This window comes from Homo sapiens, chromosome 16, assembly GCF_000001405.40.
Source record: "Homo sapiens chromosome 16, GRCh38.p14 Primary Assembly".
Lineage (NCBI taxonomy): Eukaryota > Metazoa > Chordata > Mammalia > Primates > Hominidae > Homo > Homo sapiens.
This window is the reverse complement of record NC_000016.10, coordinates 55459543-55478803: the sequence shown is the minus strand read 5'-3', so window position 1 is coordinate 55478803 and position 19261 is coordinate 55459543. Positions and strand designations below refer to the sequence as shown.

Genomic DNA, 19261 nt, shown 5'->3' with positions numbered 1-19261 from the left:
TGGTCAGAAACAGATGATCAGCCACAATGATAGATGGTCAGAGACAGAAATTTTCGATATTTAGGGATAGGGACAGAGAGATTCTGGGATGAACAGAGATGGAAAGAGAGAGATGGAAACAGAGACAGTGGAAGGTCCCAGGTTGCTTCCTTACCTCTTTCCTTCTGCAAATGTGTAAGCCTTAACTTGGCCTCGTATAGTGCGAGATGCTAGATACACCTTGGGAAATAGAGCAGTCAGGGGCCCCGCGTTAGAGACGTTGGAACCAGAGCGACTCCATCTTGAACAGGGGGCTGGGTAAAATGAGGCTGAGACCTGCTGGGCTGCACTCCCAGGAGGGTCCGCATTCTCGGTCACAGGATGAGATAGAAATTGGGCAAGACTGGTTTAATAAGATAGAGGTCACAAAGACCCCACTGATAAAACAGTATGCAGTGAAGAAGCCAGCCAAAACCAAGATGGCAAAGAAAGCGACCTCTGGTCATCCTCACTGCTCATTTTACGCTAATTATAATGCATTAGCATGTTAAAGGAAGCACCCACCAGTGCCATGGCAGTTTATAAATGCCATGGCAATGTGGGGAGGTTTACCCTATATGGTCTAAAAAGGGGAGGAGCCCTCAGTTCCACGAATTCCCCACTCACTCTTGAATCCTTTCCTGCGCCAAGCCAAGAATCCATGTGGCCTCTCAGGTCGAATCCCAATTTTGAAGTTCTCCCTGTGACAACCGTCTCTGAGGAATGTCTTCTCCCTCTCTCAGGAAAGACAGTTGAGAGATAAGCTGTGATGGGGAACTCCAGCAGGCTGTTGGGAACGCCTGACTTCAGCCCCTAAACTAGTAAAGACAATCAAGGAAGGCTTCCTGGAAGAAGTGACTTCTGAGCTGAGACCTGAAGAGCTAAAGAGGTGGAGTGCTGGGTGGGGAATATGGGGAATGTTTTAGGGAACATTGACAATGGCCCAGAGATGAAAAACAGCAAGAGGCACTGGAGAAGAAAGTTTTTTCTATCTGAAAAAGGTGGGGCACAGGGTGAGGGGATGGAGCTGGAGGGGTCAGTAAGGACCAGCCTAGGAAGGGGGCAGATAGGACTGGGGGTCAGCAGGGAACAGTTTGAGAAGTAAGGTCAGGGGCTGAAAGAATCAGGAGCAATATACTTGTGGGGGGCATTGGAGGTCACGATTATGTCTTGATCATCACAGCTAGAAAAGTCTCTGCGGCTTGGGTCTCAGTGGGCTTCAGACAAGTTCAGGCTTGTCTGGTGGGTGTGTGCTCTGACTTTCCAGAGTCAGTTTTAAAGGACCCTCTTGGGAGGGACCTTGCCCCGCAGGAGGGAGCCAGGCCCTTCAGCCTGACCCAGTGACAAACCTTGGCTGTTTTGGAGAGGGCGAGACTGAGGTCAGTTGGGAAGGGGGATTGCCTCCTGGCCCAGCCCCACTGGGCTCATGTCCACGTCCTGTGGATAGCCAGAGAGCCAAGTTGGAGAGCTGAGAGCTGAGAGTGAAAATGGAAAAAGTTATCTCACTAAAGCAGGGGCTGCAAACTCGTGGCCTGTGGGCTAAATCCAGCCTGAACAGCATTTTGAAATTTGGGAAACTTCATGTAAAAATCTGACTTTCTGGTTTTCTTTTTTTAAAAAAATTTCCCAAAAATCTGGCAATACTGGATGCCAGTTTCCATATGGCAATAATTTGCTGAAGTTGAGTAGTGACTGCTCCCTTTAGATGAGGCACATACTTTGGTTTGCCACAGTCCTCACCACTCTCTATTGTATTGCCTTGTATGTGACTCCCTTCACTAGGTGTTGTTCATTTACACTTGCCCAATTTGAGTTTTAACCTTTTCAGAAAGTCTCTGGAGTCTGCATAACATGCTTTGGAGCTCCTCTGGCAGAGGGCAGCTTTGACTGTACCTCTTCACAGCCTCTGTGGTTTTGGCATTCCAAGGGTATCGGTTTCCAGTGTGGGGCTTGGTGCCCATTCAGAGATGGCAATGGCTGCAGAAGCAGCACTCAGTGAGAGAGAGGCTTCTGTGCCCAGCAATGACTATGTCAGAGGCATTGGAACCAGAGCAACTCCATCTTGAATAGGGGTTAGACTAAGACCTGCTGGCCTGCATTACCAGTAAATTAAGGCAATCCTAATCACGAAATGAGATAGGAGGCTGGCACAAGATACAGGTCATAAAGACCTTGCTGATAAAACAGGTTGCAGTAAAGAAGCTGGCCAAGACCCACCAAAACCAAGATGATGATGAGAAAAACCTCTGGTCAGCCTTACTGCCACACTCCCACCAGCGCCACGACTGTTTACATATGCCATGGCAACGTCAGGAAGTTATCCTATACGGCCTAAAAGGCAGAAGCATGAATAATTTACCCCTTGTTTAGCATATAATCAAGAAATAACCATAAAAATGGGCAACCAGCAGCTTTTGGGGCTGATCTGCCGATGAAATAGCCATTCTTTTATTCCCTTACTTTCTTAATAAACTTGCTTTCACTTTATGGACTTGCCTCAAATTCCTTCTTGTGTGAGATCCAAGAACCCTCACTTGGGGCCTAGAATGGCCCAGGGGACGAGGAGAGAACAGGCAGTATCTGATGATAATGGGCTTGTTGGTGAGCACATGCAATATGCTCCAGGGCCCCTGTGCACTCCTGTATATCTCTCTTCCCCTGCCACGGTAACCCTGGGAGCCCTGTGTTGATCTAGCAAAGTCGTAAAATGAAAGCAACCAGACCCACTACAGACTTCGTAAGTGAAAAACAAACTCTTAGGCAACGAACCATGGAGCTTTTGGGATATGTTTGTTACTGCAGCATCTTTTAGTCATTCTTAATATAGATGCAAAAATGCTGTTTAGTGGATATAATTGTGTTGCCAAAAAGATATGTTCAAGTCCCAATGCCTGTGACTGTGCCCTCACATGGAAATAGGGTCTTTGCAGATACAATCAAGTTAAGATGAGTGGGCTCTAATCCAAAGCCTGTTGTCATGATAAGAAGACAAAACTTTGGACACAGAGACACACAGCAAGAAGAACTCCATGTGACCATGGAGGCAGAAATTGGAGCAATGCCTGCAACCCAAGGAGTTGCCTGCAACCCAGAAGCTAGAAGAGACAAGAAGGAATTCTTCCCCCAGAGGCTTCAGAGGGAGCGTGGCCCTGCTGACATGTTGGTTTTGGACTTCTAGTCTCAGAGCTCTGAGAGAATAAATTTCTGTTGTAAGCCACCCAGTCTGTAGTGCTTTTTTACAGCAGCCCCAGAAAACTACGCAGGCTGTGATTAGAAGACGTCGCGATATGACATGAATTCTGTCATTTATTCGGGAAGTTTTTGATGAACACTGTTTTTGGTGCTGGGGTACAGTGGCATTAAGGTGGTGTTTTATTGATGAAGAGGCAGAAATTACAGTGCGGGACACTAAGCAGGGGACAGAGCATTGAGGGAGGTAGTGGCCGTGTGCCATGTAAGCCTTCCCAAGACCCTGTCCTCCTACTTTTAGTAGCTGCCCCTTAGTTTCCCATTGGGAAGCTACTTCTCCCCAACTCTAGGTCTGAATTCAGCAGATGTGACCCACCTCCTGGCTCCACAGTGGCAATGTGACCCAAGCTGGGCTAAAAGGCAGATCCAGGCATCTTGGTGAGGTGATGATTCAGATACCGGCTTGTGAATCCACTGGAGCCAAGGAAAGTTAATTCTGGGACTTTAGCTGGAGGTACAGGTTACCTCATTTTATTCACACTTTGCCCTACTGTGCTGTGCAGAGATAGCAATTTTGCAAATTGAAGGTTTGTGACTACCCTGCGTCAAGCAAGCTTACTGATGTCATTTTTCCATTAGCATGTGCTCACTTCCTGTCTCCGTGTCACATTTTGGTAATTCTTGCCATATTTCCAAATTTTTCATTGTTATTATATCTGTTATAGTGATCTGTGATCAGTGATCTCTGATCTTACTAGTTAATTGTTTTGAAGTGCCACAAATGTCAGGCCTCCAAGCCCAAGCTAAGCCATCATATCCCCTGTGACCTGCACGTATACATCCAGATGGCCTGTTCCTGCCTTAACTGATGACATTCCACCACAAAAGAAGTGAAAATGGCCAGTCCCTGCCTTAACTGATGACATTACCTTGTGGAATTCCTTCTCCTGGCTCATCCTGGCTCAAAAGCTCCCCTGCTGAGCACCTTGTGACCCCCCACCCCTGCCCGCCAGAGAACAACTCCCCTTTGACTGTAATTTTCCTTTACCTACCCAAATCCTATAAAACGGCCCCACCCCTATCTCCCTTCGCTGACTCTCCTTTTGGACTCAACCCGCCTGCACCCAGGTGAAATAAACAGCCTTGTTGCTCACAGAAAGCCTGTTTGGTGGTCTCTTCAGATGGACGTGAGTGAAAACAAACTGTGCCCATATACAAGGGTGAACTAAATCACCCTTGTAAATGTGTGTGTTCTGACTGCTTTACCAACTGACTGGCCATTCCTCATTTCTCTCCCTTTCTGTGGGCCTCCCTAGACCCTACAATCAACAATATCAAAATGAGGCCAGTTAATAACTCTACAATGGCCTCTAAGTGTTCAGGTGAAAGGGATGGTTGCACATTTCTCACTTTACGTCAAAAGCTAGAAATGTCTAAGCTTAGTGAGAAAGGCATGTCAAAAGCCCAGAGAGACCAAAAACTAGGCCTCTTGCACCAGGTAGCCAAGTTGTGAATGCAAAGGAAAGCTCTTAAAGAAAATTCAAAGTGCTATCCCAGTAAACACACAAATTATAAGAAGGTGAAACAGCCTTATTGTTGATACTGACAAAGTTTGAGTGGTCTGGAGAGAAGAACAAAACAGCCATAACATTCCCTTAAGATAAAGCTTAGTCCAGAGCAAGGCTCTAACTCTCTTCAACTCTATGAAGGCTGAGAGAGGTGAGGAAGCTGCAGAAGAAAAGTTTAAGCTAGCAGAGGTTGGTTCATGAGGTTTAAGAAGAGAAGCCGTCTCCATAAGATAAAAGTGCAAGGTAAGCAGTAAGTGCTGATGGAGAAGCTGCGGCAAGTTATCCAGAAGGTCTAGCTAGGACCATTGATGAAGGTGGCTACACTAAACAACAGATTTTCAGTGTAGATGAAACAGCCTTCTACTGAAAGAAGATCCCATCTAGGACTTTTATATCTAGAGATGAGAAGTCAATGCCTGATTCAAAGGACAGGCTGACTCTCTTGTCAGGGGTTAATGCAGCTAGTGGCTTTAAGTTGAAGCCAATGCTTGCCCGCTAATTCAAAAATATTGGGCCCTTACGAAAATTTCTTTCAAACTACTACTGCTTATTGAGAAGGCACCTGGCCACCCAAGAGCTCTGATTGAGATGTATGAGATTCATGTTTTCATGCCTGCTAACACAACATCCATTCTGCAGCCCATGGATCGAGGAGTAATTCTGACTTTCAAGTCTTATTATTTAAGAAATTTATTTCATAAGGCTATAGCTGTCATACATAGTGATTCCTCTGATGGATCTGGGCAAAGTAAATTGAAAATCTTGTGAAAAGGATTAACCGTTTCAGATGCCCTTAAAAACATTCATGATTTCATCGGAGGAGGTCAAAATATCAACATTAGCAGGAGTTTGGAAGAAGTCATTTGCAACTCTCATGGATGACTTTCAGAGGTTCAAGACTTCAGTGGAGGAAGTAACTGCAGATGTGACAGAAATAACAAGAGAATTAGAATTAGAAGTGGAGCCTAAAGATGTGACTGAATTGCTATAATCTCATGATCAAACTTGAATGGATAAGGAGCTGCTTATGGATGAGCAAAGAAAGTGGTTTCTCGAGACAAAAACCTACTCTTGGTGAAGATGCTGTGAACATTGTTGAAATGACAACAAAGGATTTAGAATATTCCATAAACTTAGTTGATAAAGGAGTGGTGGCAGGGTTTGGGAGGATTTACTTGAATTTTAAAAGAAGTTCTAGTGTAGATAAAATGCTATCAAACAGCATTGCATGCTGCAGAGAAATCTTTTGTGAAAAGAACGGTCAATCAATGCAGCAAACTTTATTGTTGTCTTATTTTAGGCAATTGCCACAGCCACCCCAGCCTTCAGCAGCCACCACCCTGATCAGTTAGCAGCCATTAACAATGAGGCAACACTCTTTGCCAGCAAAAAGACTATGACTCACTGAAGGCTCAGATGATGGTGCTCTTTTTTTTTTTTTTTTTTTTTTTTTTTTTTTTTTTTTTTTACCAATCAAGTGTTTTTAAATTAGAGTATGTACTTTTTTTTAAACATAATGCTATTACACACTTAATAGACTATAATGTAATGTAAACATAACTGGTTTTTTTATAATCAGGGTCTTACTGTGTCACCAAGGCTGGAGTGCAGTGATACAATCATGGCTCACTGCAGCTTCTACCTCCTGGGCTCAAGTGATACTCCCACATCCGCCTCCCGAGTAGCTGGGACCACAGGTATGCACTACCATGCCCAGCTAATTTTTTTGATTTTTTTTGTGGAGACAGGGTCTCACTATGTTGCCCAGGCTGGTCTCAAATTCCTGGGCTTAAGCAATGTTCCCCCCTCAGCTTTCCAAATTGCTGGGATTACAAGTGTGAGCCACTATGCCCTGCCCATAACTTTTATATGTATTGGGAAACCAAAAACTGTGTGTCACTTGCTTTATTGCAATATTTGCTTCATGGTGGCTGCCTGGAATTGAACTTGCAACCTCTAGGAGTTATGCCTCTATTTGGGATGCACCTACACTTTCACCTGTAAATGAAGTTGGTCTGACCTAAGCGTGGAGCTACCTTTAAGGTTAGATAGAGGCTTCCCGAGGTTGAAGCTTCACCAATGGGAACAGAGCCAAAAAATCAGTGGAAACCCTGGACCCAGCCCTGCCTGTAGCCAGAAGTATCCTTCACTTTTTAGTTTGTGAGCCAATAAATCTCCTCCTCTCAACTTTGAGTTTTGTTTTGTTTTTTGCTTAAAGCTGCCTGGGTTGAGTTTCTGTCACTTGCAACCTGAAAGTCTTGACTGAAACAGTGAAAGACTTTAGCTGAGAAACCTCTTAGCCGAGAAACCTCCCATCTTAAAGATAAGAAACTGCAAAGCTTCTCATCTTTAAGGTCTCAGCTCCAGTGCTGCCTCCTCAGTGAAGCCTTGCTTGACTAGTCATCCCCTAAAATGAGTCACCTCTGTGTTATTTCATTTCTGGAAGCTACTGCTGTCTTGAAACAATCTTGTAACTTTTATTTCTGACTTCTTTATTGACTTCTGAACTAGAATGTCAGTTGTGTTTCCAGTACTTAGAACGGGGTTTTGCACATAGTAGGTACTCAATAAATATCTGTTGAACAAATAAATGGTTGAAGAAATGAATGATTCTTCCATACATATGAGCAGATGGAAGGGCAGGCTCAGTAAACAGAGTTAGGGCTGGTGGGGTGGTCCCCAGGGTAGAAGGAAAGGCCAGAAAGAGCATGAAGGCTACAGAGACCCTCTACCCGAGGTCCCTGCCCTCCTTGGTTTTGTCACAGGTCCCAGGTACATCTGAGAAGCATTCAAGGGCCCAAAAGTGGGCTGGAACACACAGCCCTTAAGGAGCAGAGGCAGGGCGTTCCCCAGGGCCAAGACATCCCAGAAGATTTAGGTTCTCTGCTGGGCTCCTCAACACCAGGCTCATGGATTCCAAGCTCCAGAGGCTCAGAAGTCCTGGTTACTGTTCTTAAAACCCTTTGCCAACTTTGACTTACTCTTAAATAAAACCACAACTCCTTGCCACAGCCTGCAGAACCCTCCACACCCTGCTGTGACCTCTCTGCAGCAATCGGGATCCCAGGAGGGAGCAGATGGCCCTCCCGGATAAGGATAATTCGAGGAGAGCTTACTGATGATGGATTAATTCCAAAGCACAGGGGTAGGGTATAAGGGAAGCCAAGGGGTGGCACGCAGGGACCTGGGCCAGAAGCACCAGGCCCAGAGGGCTGACCAGAGGGAGCAGTTCCTGGAACCCAAAAGGAGGGAAAATTGCACACAGCAGAGGCCATGAATGAAGCAGCCAGCCCCAGGCAACCTCCCAGGAGGAATCCGGAAATAAACACACTGACTTTATTCTCCTCTCTCCTTCTGATCTTTTGCCAGGCTTCCCATTGGCAGAACCCAGTCCATCCCAGGGAGCACAGGAGCTGGGCAATGCAGTCTGAGGGTGGGAGGTGCAGAGCCACCTGGGGAGGCAAAGAGGAGGGCCCAGCTCTGGCTTCTATCTTTGCATTCTTTCCCTTGATCTTTCAGCTTGGGCCACACTAGCCTTCTCTCTATTCCTGAAAGATAGCAACCCTGTGGTGAGGGCCATAAAGGTGGCTGCTCGGGTCTTCTTTTAAGAAAGAACTTGCAGACCGGGCTCAGTCGCTCTCGCCTGTAATCCCAACACTTTGAGAGGCCGAGGCATGTGGATCACTTGAGGTGAGGAGTTCGAGACCAGCCTAACCAACATGGTGAAACCCTATCTCCATTAAAAATTAGCCAGGAGTGGTGGTGCATGCCTGTAGTCCCAGCTACTCAGGAGGCTGAGGTGGGAGGATTGCTTGAACCCCGGAGGTGGAGGTTGCAGTGAGCCAAGATTGCGCCACTGAACTCCACCCTGGGAGACAGAACAAGATCCTGTCTCAAAAAAAAAAAAAGAAAAGAAAAGAAAAAGAAAGAACTTGCCATTCAGCAGCAGAATGCAGTGAAATGACAGCCTCAGCCTTTAAGCCTAAGCCATCCTCCTTTCAGTCAAGCCCCAGCTAATGGTTAAGCACGGCAGGGGGCTAGAGCCTGGTGTATCTGCCTAAATGTGGGACTCTATCCTTTCTCCAGAGCTCCCCATTGGGTGGGTTGATACTTTTCAGAGCTGTGTGGAGGTCTGAGATTCTCTCTTTTCAAATATGCTTCATTCCCCCTTTTTTTTCTTAGTCCCCCAAACTTATAGCTTCATCTCAGACTCTGATTCCTGGAGGACGCAACTAACACATCTGTCCCCACTGGATTTTGCATTCAATGTTCCCTTGAACTGCAAAGCTTCTCATCTTTAAGGTCTCAGCTCCAGTGCCACCTCCTCAGCAAAGCCTTCCTTGACTGACCATCCCCTAAAACCAGTCACTCCTGTGTTATTTCATTTCTGGCAGCTACTGCTGTCTTGAAACAATCTTGTTACTTTAATTTCTGACTTTTTAAAATTGACTCCTGCCCTTGAATGTCAGCTGCATCTCCAGTACTTAGAACAGGGTTTTGCACATAGTGGGTGCTCAATATACATCTGTTCAATAAATACATGGTTGAAGAAATGAATGATACTTCCCTAGATATGGGGAGATGGAAAGGCAGGCCCGGTAACTGGAGTTGGGTATGGTGGGGTGGTCCCCAGGGTAGAAGGAAAGGCTAAACAGAGCACTGGGGGCTCTGCCCTGGGCTGCTCAGGAGTCATTTTGCTGACTCAAAACTCTAGGGATTTTCTTGTCTTATAAAGGCACAGGTTCCATCCTAGAGCTTCCCTTTCTGCCATGTGGAGGTAAGGTAAGGATAGACCACTTTAGACTTGGCAGTCTGAAGGTAGAATTGTTTATTTGTAACCAACAGCAGGAGAAATTTAGGGTAGGCTCTAGGTGGGACTTCCCAACAGCAAATAAAAAGAATGAGGATTTAAAGGGTTCATAAGGTAGGCCCACTTCCCTGAGGGACCTTAGCAAGACAGAGGACTGGTGAGACCCTCTTTGGCCTAGCGTGGACTCATGGGTGGACTCCAGGATCTTAAGACAGCTTGAAGATTCTGGCTGGGATGGGAAGGATAAGCGGGCAGTTGGCTTCCTTCCTTGCCACCCCCACCTTGCTCATTGCTTCCCCCATCCAATTTTCTCTCCACCACCCAACGTGGGGTCTCTGAATCCCTGAGTCACTGTGTCCTCCAAGACTCTGCCCCGGCCCACTTCCCCATCTCTCCCTGCTGTGTTCTTAGCCACAGCCTCTTACTTTGGTTTTGTCCAAATGTGTGGCCTCTGGCTGGGATGGTCAGGACTGGTTAGGATGTGGCGCTGGGGCAGCTGTTGCTTGTGCCTGCTCACCCCCACTCTCTGTTCTGCTCACAGCAGACTAGGCTGTCCTCAAGAAAGCAGGTGTCCCTACCAGCCATGTGCCCCAGGTCGGTGGGAGACTTGATCCCTCAGGGACATGATGCTAACTTCAGGAATGGGCATAGGAGACTGTTGAACGTGTCTGTCTGGGGCAAGGGGCTCCTCAGAGAGGAGCAGGGGAACAGAAGACATGGCCTTGTGATGCTGTTTGAGATCCTGGATCCAGCTATACCTGAAACCAATCTAGTCTTGGATTTTTCAGTCTAGTGAGCCCTTTTTATACTTAGTCCAATTTCAGTAACGTTTCTATTATTTGTACCTAAAAGCTCCTGGGCAATAGAAGTGTAACCTTGGAAAGGCCACCACTAAGCTTCTCCCCAGCAGGACTCATCCCCCAGGGAAGGAGTCTTCAGTGGATAAGGCTAGTGAATTGCCATAGGTCCTGGTGTGAGTCTGTCTGTCTGCAGGTCACTAAGCCAGGCAGTGACCTTGCCATTTCCTGTGCTTCTGGGGGTTGGGTTTTCCCTGGGCACCATGGGGTGGAAGAGATCAGAGTAGAGATCTGGCCCCCATGGAGCACCAGGACATCAGTGAGGAAGGGGCCACATTCCTGCTGCTGTTTGAGCAACCCTGGGAAGCCCAGGTTATGGGGAGCTAGTTGGAAACCAAGCAGCGAACTCCCTGTGCTGTACGGGAATGTGCTCAGACCAGCTTGGGCTCCTCTACTGGGGGAGGCTGCAGAGAGGACGCTACCCACCCAGATCTGCCTCTGATTGGAGGACCTATGTCCAGCTGCTAGTATGATGCTGCCCTGGCAGAAGGGACCAGCCTCCCTGAAGGTCACGTCTTTTCCTGGAGCAAGGCATCCAAGGTTGGTTGGTGCCCAATTAGAAAGGCTCCACTCCCTCCTTTTCCCAATTTGGAACACTTCCTTTTTTTCTTTTTTCTTTTTTTTTTTTTTTTAAGACAGAGTCTCACTCTGTCACCCAGGCTGGAGTGCAGTCGTGATCTCAGCTCACTACAACCTCTGCCTCCCAGGTTTAAGTGATTCTCCTGTCTCAGGCTCCTGAGTAGCTGGGATTACAGGTGTTTGCTAACATGCCTGGCTAATTTTTGTATTTTTAGTAGAGAGAGGGTTTCACCATGTTGGCCTGGGGAGTCTCGAACTCCTGACCTCAAGCGATCCACCCGCGTTGGTCTCTCAAAATGCTGGGATTACAGGTGTGAGCCACCGCGCCCAGCCCAATTTAGAACACTTCTGAAGTGCCGTTCAGTTCTAGAGCTTCCCTGTGAGGTGGGATGAGGCCTTTGTGGAGACTGCACAGCAGCCCACCTTCTCTACCTGCCCCATTCCACTTCCTTCCTTCCCCTTCTGAGGGTGGTGACCCCGAGAACACTTCCTGATAAATCTTCTGCTTACTCTTTGTCTCAAAGTCTGGGCCTCCTAGGCAGTCCATCCTGTGAAAATCCCCCATAGCACCATGGGTTCCTCATGGACACTTGTTCCTTTGGGTTAAGGCACTGTCCCTTAGGTGGGGTGGGGTTGGGGACAATACTTTTCCAGAGGAAAGGGAACATGGTAGCCACACATTTGTTACTGGTAGCCTTTCCAGGCCTGCCTTCCTGTAGAATCGAAGACCACAAATGGTCGGAGAAAGGAGAGGCCCAGATCGGGGCATAGCCAGAAGTGGGGTCCTTGGGCAGTTAGGGGCTGCAAACTGAAGACCAGCATATCAGATCTGCACAATTCCCAGAGATGATCCAATTCAATTTCCCTGTTTAATGACAGCCAATGCTGGGAGAGAGACTGAGCACTGACTGCATGTCAGGCACTGTGGTAGGTCTTTTATGGATGTTAATTTCCAGGGTATTTCTTTGAAACGGGTGGCATGGTTAGCAACCTGTTTAATAGTTGAGGAAGCTGAGGCACAGAGAGGATGACTTACTCGTGGCCGCACACTTAATATCAGCATCAGGATATGCCTTGGGGTTCTCTAATGCCATAGCCTTTCCACCTAACCACCACATTACATAGACTTCCCGGAGAGATGGGGAAACTGAGGCACAGGAAAGTATTTGCCTGGGCCACACAACAAAGGGAGGACAAACAGAAATCCCCTGGGCTCACTTTGAGCCAGGAACTGTGCCAGGCATTTTCACACAGGTTGTTGTACTCAGTCCTCCCAGTAAATCCAGGGGTGACTAGGCTATGACTATGATGGGAAAAGTGAGCCCAGAGAAGTTAAGGAATTTGACCAAGGACACACAGCAAGTAAGCACAGTACTGGAACCCGAATCGTTGATTCTTTCTTCTGCAGCTGCTGCTACCTTTTCCACGGCTGGGTTCTCTCTCTGCCCAGCTCCCCACTCTGCTGTCTCGTGCCTCTTTGTGGCATCCCTGCAGCCAACATCCCTCTGACCCTCCACTGCCCTCAGCTCACTGGTTCCCCCTAGTTTAGGGATGTTCTCCAAATGCCCTCCCTTTGACCCATCTGCAACTCTACCCTACTTTCAAAGGCAGCTCAAAACTCCTTGCCTCCAGGAAGTCCTCCTTGATTCCGAGCCCTTCATCTGCAGCCATGTTTGGGTACTGAATATGGCTTCCAGATCATGTGACCCCAGGTGACAACCTCATAGAGCCTCACTCCCTTTATTTGTCCAATAATTGTAGCAACTCTCTCTCAGGGCTGTGGCAAGAATTTGTTGGTGTTTACAGTGCCTGGAATGCATGCAGTAGATATCTAGTAATTGATCATTATCTTTATAATAATGTGTTCCCTACAGTGTTCACCAAGCAGGCCTGTGTGTATGTGTATGTGTGCGTGTACAGGTGTGTGTGTGTGTATATATGTGTATATGTGTGTGTTGTATGAGTATGTATGTGTATATATGTGTGCATGGATGTGTGTGTATGTGTATGTGTACACGTGTGTATATATGTGTGTATGTAGATATGTGTGTATATATGCACGTGTGTGTTTGTGTGTATGTTTATATGTGTGTGTATGTGTGCGTGTGGATATATATGTGTGTATGTGTATACGTGTGTGTGTATGTATGTTTATATATGCGTGTGTGTGTGTGTGTGTATCTGTCCAAATCAAAAGATCAAAAGTCTTTGGTGAGTACTTACTGAGTGCAAGGTTTTTGTGCTGGGAGGAGGCGCCCAGACCATTGGCCAATGACGCTCTGATGAGGATGGGGTTGGATGCTCATTACCCTACAATAGAACTGGGCCTCCTTGGCCGCCGAGCTCCTCCTTGGGCTTAGAATTACCTGGGCAGGGAAGGATCTGTTCTCTCAGACCACAGGTTCGCTAAGGCGGGGTGACTCCAGCCCCGATCCCACATTTCTAAGGCGCGCTTCCTTCTGCAGATAGGCTGCGCCATCTGGTGGCCACTTTTGGAGAAGCAGCCTCAGGGCTCAGAGCGGCCTAGATCAGCCCATTCTCTGGGCTCATGGCACCATCTAGTGGCTTTAATGCACAATCACGGTCCATTAGCTTCAGCCTCAGCATCGCCTGAGGATGAGGTTTTTTAAAAAATTCTGGGACTCCATCTTAGAGCTACATAATCAGAATTTGGGGGAATGCATCCACAGAATTTATATTTTAAACAAGATTCCCGTGCGATTCTTAACTCTGGAAAATTTTGAGAATCATGACCGTACAAATACTTCTGCTGAATTATTTGCACCTGCTCCTCACCTGTTTGGTAATAAAATCAGCATCCACTTTACGTCTCAGAAAGCTCATTTACTATTTATTGGCACTACTTATCCTCTTAAGAGGGAGACGGGACAGGCTGAGGTTCTTGTTTGCAATTTAAAGTTGAGGAAATGGGGACCCAGAGAGTAACATGTACTCACCCACGACCACACAGTGAGCCAGCAGCTATCTTCCCTCCTCGCTCTTGGCACGTGGGGGGCAGAAAGAAGGAGCATTTGTCATCAGGAGGCCTGGGTTCTCCTAGCTGCACTTTGCGAGCAAGAGCTCTGCAAAAGTGAGATGGTGTCACTGGGGTGGGACTTGTTGGCCCCTGGGTCATACGATGCTCTTGTTTGTCTGTCTGTCGATTACTGTAGCTATCTGGCTTGCCCATTCTTCATCCTGGTTGGGTCGAGGGTGGGGCTGGGCAGTGACCTGTCAATCAGAAATAAGGACATGGAAGTCTTCCAATCATAATAGCTTGCACTTGTTGACAGTGTTACAATATTGTTAGGCCCTGTTCTAAGTACTTTACATGTATTAGTTCATGTGATCCTTGCCACAGCCCCTGAGAATGCATTATTATTATGGTCATCTCTTTATGCATGAGGATACCAAGGCACAGAGAAGTTAAGAAACTCACTCAAGGTTACACAGAGAGTGAGTGTTGACCCAGGCAATCTGCTCTGGTGCCCACACTCTTAGGCTGGTGCCATCCAGTGCCCCCGGAGCAAGCAAGATTTGGCTTCTGCACCCTCAATGACATCAGTATTTTCTCTGGGCATCCTCGGCCAAAGCACCGTCCCTCTGGGGCTCTCTGTCTCTATATGTTTATTTGCCTGGTAAATGCTTATTAAGCCCTGTGCTGAGTGCTGGATATATAGCAGCAATTAACCGCAGTCATTGCTCTTGTGGCGTTTGCATTCCAGTGGGGAGACAGGCAATACAGAGCAAACAGACTCATACACAAGGTAATTTTAGATGGCTAGGAGACCTGGGAGGGATGAGGTCAAGATTATCTGATGAGGGCAACTTGAGAATGGGTCGTCAGGGAGGGCCTCTTGGAGGCCCTTGTTAGGTGTGAGTCCTGAAGGAGGAAAATGAAGCAGTCACATGCAGAACAAGGGGAAGAGTGTTCCAGGTAGAGCAGATGGCAAGTGCAAAGGCCCTGGGGTGGGAACAAGCTTTTTTGTATTTGAAGAACAGAAGAAGGCCACTGTGGCTGGAGCAGAGCGACAGGCACAATGAGCTTTTGTGGGTTTGGTTGGCGAGCATGTGTCCCCATCTCCTTGGGAGTTGTCCCTCCTCCCCACTGAGGACAGTGTTTCTGGGAAGGTGGATTGGGTTACTGTCCTGCCCTCTTCAGAAGCCAAGACAGTTCTAAGCCTTCCTCCTACTACCCTGCCAGGGTGGGGCTGTAATCTAGGCTGAGCCAATGGGACACTCATATGGTTTTTTTTTTTTTTTTTTTTTTTTGAGACAGAGTTTCACTCTTGTCACCCAGGCTGGAGTGCAATGGCATGACCTCGACTCACTGCAACCTCTGCCTCCTGGGTTGAAGCAATTAGCTTGCCTCAGCCTCCTGAGTAGCTGGGATTACAGATGCCCACCACCAGGCTTGGCAAATTTTTATATTTTTGGTAGAGACAGGGTTTCACCATGTTGGCCAGGCTGGTCTCGAACTCCTGACCTCAGGTGATCCACCTGAAAGTGCTGGGATGACAGACGTGAGCCACCGTGCCCGGCCCACTCATATGACCTCGCGTGACATAGATACAGATGGAACAATGGCAGCCCAGGCACAGCAACTGCGGGACCCTGAGGCCTGGTGTTCCCACCTTGATGTCTGCTCCAGTTGCCTGGCTCCCTTATCCTATTCTAACAAATCCCCCTTCGCTTATGTTGCCAGAGTTTACTTCTGTGGCCTACACCCAAATGACCCTACTGATGCAGTGGAGGAATGAAGGCAGATGAAGTTGGGCCCAGATGCGCTAGGCCTGGTTGGCCAAGCCAAGGAATTGGGTTGTGTTCCAAGGAAAATGAGGTCCCTGGGGATTTTTCTGGCACTGCCCTTCTGAGATGCTGTGATTCTGTGTGGGTGGCTTCCCACCTATGGGCATGACCTTAATCCACCAGCCCCTGTCCAGAAGCTCTCCCCTGCCCACCCAGGCCCAGGTCCCCACCACACTCTACCGCTAATGCACAATTGCCCTCCGCAGGCACCCAGGCAAGGTGAGCTTGGGATTACTTGTGTATTTCCCATGCACCCCCAATAAGGTCTCTCTATGGCTCAGATAAACATCTCTAAGATTTTATCCCTACCATACACTCCACCAAATGAAGAGTAAAACGAGAAGGGAGGAGAAATAGACAATCAGAACGTTCATCTTATATGTTGTGGAGCCCAGGAAGGGGACTGAGGAGGGGTCAGGGAGCCAAGGTTCAGCCAGTGCCCCAAGTGCCTCCTGCCCTTGAATTCCGAAGCATCAGGAATCAGTCACGGTAACAACAGCCAGCTGGTGACCCCAATCCCTCTGCACAGCAACAAGCCTTGGCTCTTGTTTTTCTAAGAATCCAGTCAATCCTCTTTCCTGTAAGTTGCAACCCAGTCCTCCCCCCAGGCCGGGCTGAGGACACAGCTTGTCTTCCCGATGGTGTCACCTAGAACTCTGGTTCCCCTGCTCCCTTTCTCTTCAAATAGGAAAATTGGCACAGCTTGACTTTCTTCCACTGCCCTCCCAGCCACAGCTTAGACACCTACAAACTCCCACCGCAGGCTGGAGTGCCCTGGAGCCCTAACTGTGATACCCAGGTCAGTTTCCAAATCTGTACCTTTCTGCGTCTCCTGTTCCAACTCTCAGTGAACTCAGCTGGTTCCTGCCCTTCCTCCCCAATGACCAGCCCTGAGGAATTGACAGCTAGGCCACAGCCGCCTCTTCCTCCAGCTTGACCCTAATTGGAATAAGTACCTCTATCATGGAATCCCAGAGGGACTTACGGTGGGGTTGTAGGCAGTGAGCCATGATTGCACTACTGCTCTCCAGCCTGGGCAACAGAGTGAGACCTTCCAAGAGAGAAAGAGAGAAAGAGGGAAAGAGAGAGAGAGAGAACAGAAACAGGAAAAGAAAGAAAGAAAGAAAGAAAGAAAGAAAGAAAGAAAGAAAGAAAGAAAGAAACCATTTAACATTTAAAGTTTACATTTAACAAGGGCTTACAATATGCCAGGTGTTTTACAAGTATTCATTAATTGATTCAAAAGACATTTATTGAGGGGTGTAAAATGATTATCTCTATTTTATAGATGAAGAAACTGAGGCACACAGAGGTGAAATAGCTTGCACAAATGTTGCTTAGCTGGTAAGTAGATTAGTCATGGCAAAGCTAAGCTAGGCAGCCTGCCTTCTTTTTTTTTTTTTTTTTTTCCGTGATGGAGTCTTGCTTTGTCATCCAGTCTGGAGTGCAGTGGCGTGATCTCGGCTCACTGCAACCTCCACCTCCCAGGTTCAAGCGATTCTCCTGCCTCAGTCTCCCAAGTAACTGGGATTACAGGCATGCGCATTTTTTTTTTTTTTGTATTTTTAGCAGAGACAGGGTTTTGCCATGTTGGCCAGGCTGGTCTCAAACTCCTGACCTTGTGATCCACCCACCTCAGCCTCCCAAAGTGCTGGGATTACAGGTGTGAGCCACCATGCCCAGCCCTTATAGTCTTAATAACTGAAAGACAACAGCTTCTAGAAGGATTTTGTAGCTCTCAGCATTGCCTGCCATGTCTGCACTGGGCAAGGCCTTTCCCGGGCAATTTCCTTTCCCATGACAGAAAATGGGTGGTGACCACTCTATCCTGATGTTGTGTGGTCAGCTATCTGGCTGTGGGTGCAAAAAGGATGCACTGAGACCAGGTTTTGAAGGCATTTACAGACACATGGAGCTCTTGGAAGGCTCCTCAGCTTGTCCTCTGGAGTGGTTCTCAGAGGTGGATGATGCCGCAGAAGCAGAAATGCTGCAGGTTCTCGCTTGGAACCTTCCATCCAGTCCAGGCCTGGAGGAGCAGCCATCCAGGCAGGAATTGCAGGAAAGGCTACAATCCGTAGAGAGATCTGAAAATGAGTCTATCTTAGTGAGGCAGCAGTTGGGAGCAAGAAACAGAAGCCCCCTTAGACTAACTAAGGAGAAGGGAGTCGGAGTATGATTACAAGAACCCTAGGAGGCCAGCGGCGGGGCTTGAAAATCACGGGCTCAGGCTGCACTCAGCTCTTTCTCCCTGCGGTCTCTGTTCCCCAAGCTCCCCTCTCTGCAGCCACCCTGGGCAGCTCACTCTCCCTATCCCCTGACCCCTCACAGTGGCTCCGTGTGATCTCTCGGTCCACTCAGCTGTCCTTCCAGGTCCCTGTGGAGAATCCCTGAGATAGGAACATAGAAGGTGTGGGGGCCAGAGGGGGTGCAGAAGGTGAGGCACCATTTCATCCGTAACAGCCATGACCAGAAATGCTAGTAAATGCTTTTTGAGGCTTGTTTCATCGTGAGATTTTGCTTCAGAGGCCATTTGGGCGTTTTTCAGCCCTGGCCTCTTTGGCTGCCGGAAATAAGATCCCACTCTAGCAAAGGGAGGTCCTTTTTTCTTCTTTTACAATTCCACATCTTTCCAAGGGTGATATTCAGTAAGCCCACCTCAGATGGCATCTGAGAGTGTTAGATTTTGCTCATCTGATGCTGAGGATGGTGTCTGAAACACAGTCAGTGCTGAGTAGTTGTTGTGAGCAGGAGCGGTTGGCTTCCTGCATATCCCAATGAAATCAGCCCGGGGGCTGCAGGGTGCTTTTCGGAGGGGCCATTCCCCAGGAGAGTGAGGATTGTGGGGATCCCAGTCAGTCCTGTCTCTCTGAATTCAGCCAGCTGCTTTCCTGAGCTCCCAAACAAGGCCGTTTTTTCAGCATCTATTACATTGGTGCAAAAGTAAATGTGGTTTTACTCAATGGTAAAACCACAATTACCTTTGCACCAACCTAATAGGGTTCCAAGACCTTGGGTGTCACAGGCCCAGGCAAATGAAGCTGAGGGCCAGGGGTGAGAGGAGATGGCTGGATTGGAGACTGGTGCATGAACTGGGCATAAGCACTGCAGGAGGGAAGCTGGGTGGGGCCTGGGAGAGCTGCTTTCGGGGATTCTGAGGCTGCAAAGGAGTCTGTGGTTGGAAATAACCCCCAAGAAAAGGACAGACTGGTGTCAGGGTGTGAAATGTCCTTAGACCTCTCCTCTGCCCCACCCCAGTGACCTAGAACTCAGCTAGTTTTGATGCTTGTTGAACCAGAAATGCTGTTGACTGAGTCTCTGAACCCTCTATTTTTTTGTAGGGGGAGGGAGGGAGTCACATAGAGCTGCTTTTTTTTTTTTTTTTTTTTTTTGAGACTGAGTCTCGCTGTATTGCCAGGCTGGAGTGCAGTGGT

At 47.9% G+C, this 19261-nt stretch overlaps 1 long non-coding RNA gene across 1 annotated transcript in view, besides 3 other annotated features; it reads left to right on the top strand.

Moving 5' to 3' along the window:
- Positions 3857–4376: an enhancer, noted in NCBI's record as "NANOG hESC enhancer chr16:55508340-55508859 (GRCh37/hg19 assembly coordinates)". NCBI's record gives its function as "activates a minimal SCP1, AML or CMV promoter by ChIP-STARR-seq in primed H9 embryonic stem cells {active_cell/tissue: H9 hESC(primed)}" and the evidence as "EXISTENCE:reporter gene assay evidence [ECO:0000049][PMID:30033119]".
- Positions 7261–8151: an enhancer, noted in NCBI's record as "NANOG-H3K27ac-H3K4me1 hESC enhancer chr16:55504565-55505455 (GRCh37/hg19 assembly coordinates)". NCBI's record gives its function as "activates a minimal SCP1, AML or CMV promoter by ChIP-STARR-seq in primed H9 embryonic stem cells {active_cell/tissue: H9 hESC(primed)}" and the evidence as "EXISTENCE:reporter gene assay evidence [ECO:0000049][PMID:30033119]".
- Positions 8152–9043: an enhancer, noted in NCBI's record as "NANOG-H3K27ac-H3K4me1 hESC enhancer chr16:55503673-55504564 (GRCh37/hg19 assembly coordinates)". NCBI's record gives its function as "activates a minimal SCP1, AML or CMV promoter by ChIP-STARR-seq in naive and primed H9 embryonic stem cells {active_cell/tissue: H9 hESC(naive and primed)}" and the evidence as "EXISTENCE:reporter gene assay evidence [ECO:0000049][PMID:30033119]".
- The window catches only part of MMP2-AS1 (MMP2 antisense RNA 1), a 35501-nt gene continuing 32746 nt past the window's right edge, over positions 16507–19261 (top strand). The window contains exon 1 of the long non-coding RNA NR_147198.1: positions 16507–16629. This is a non-coding gene — a long non-coding RNA (MMP2 antisense RNA 1). The remainder of the gene's footprint in view (positions 16630–19261) is intronic.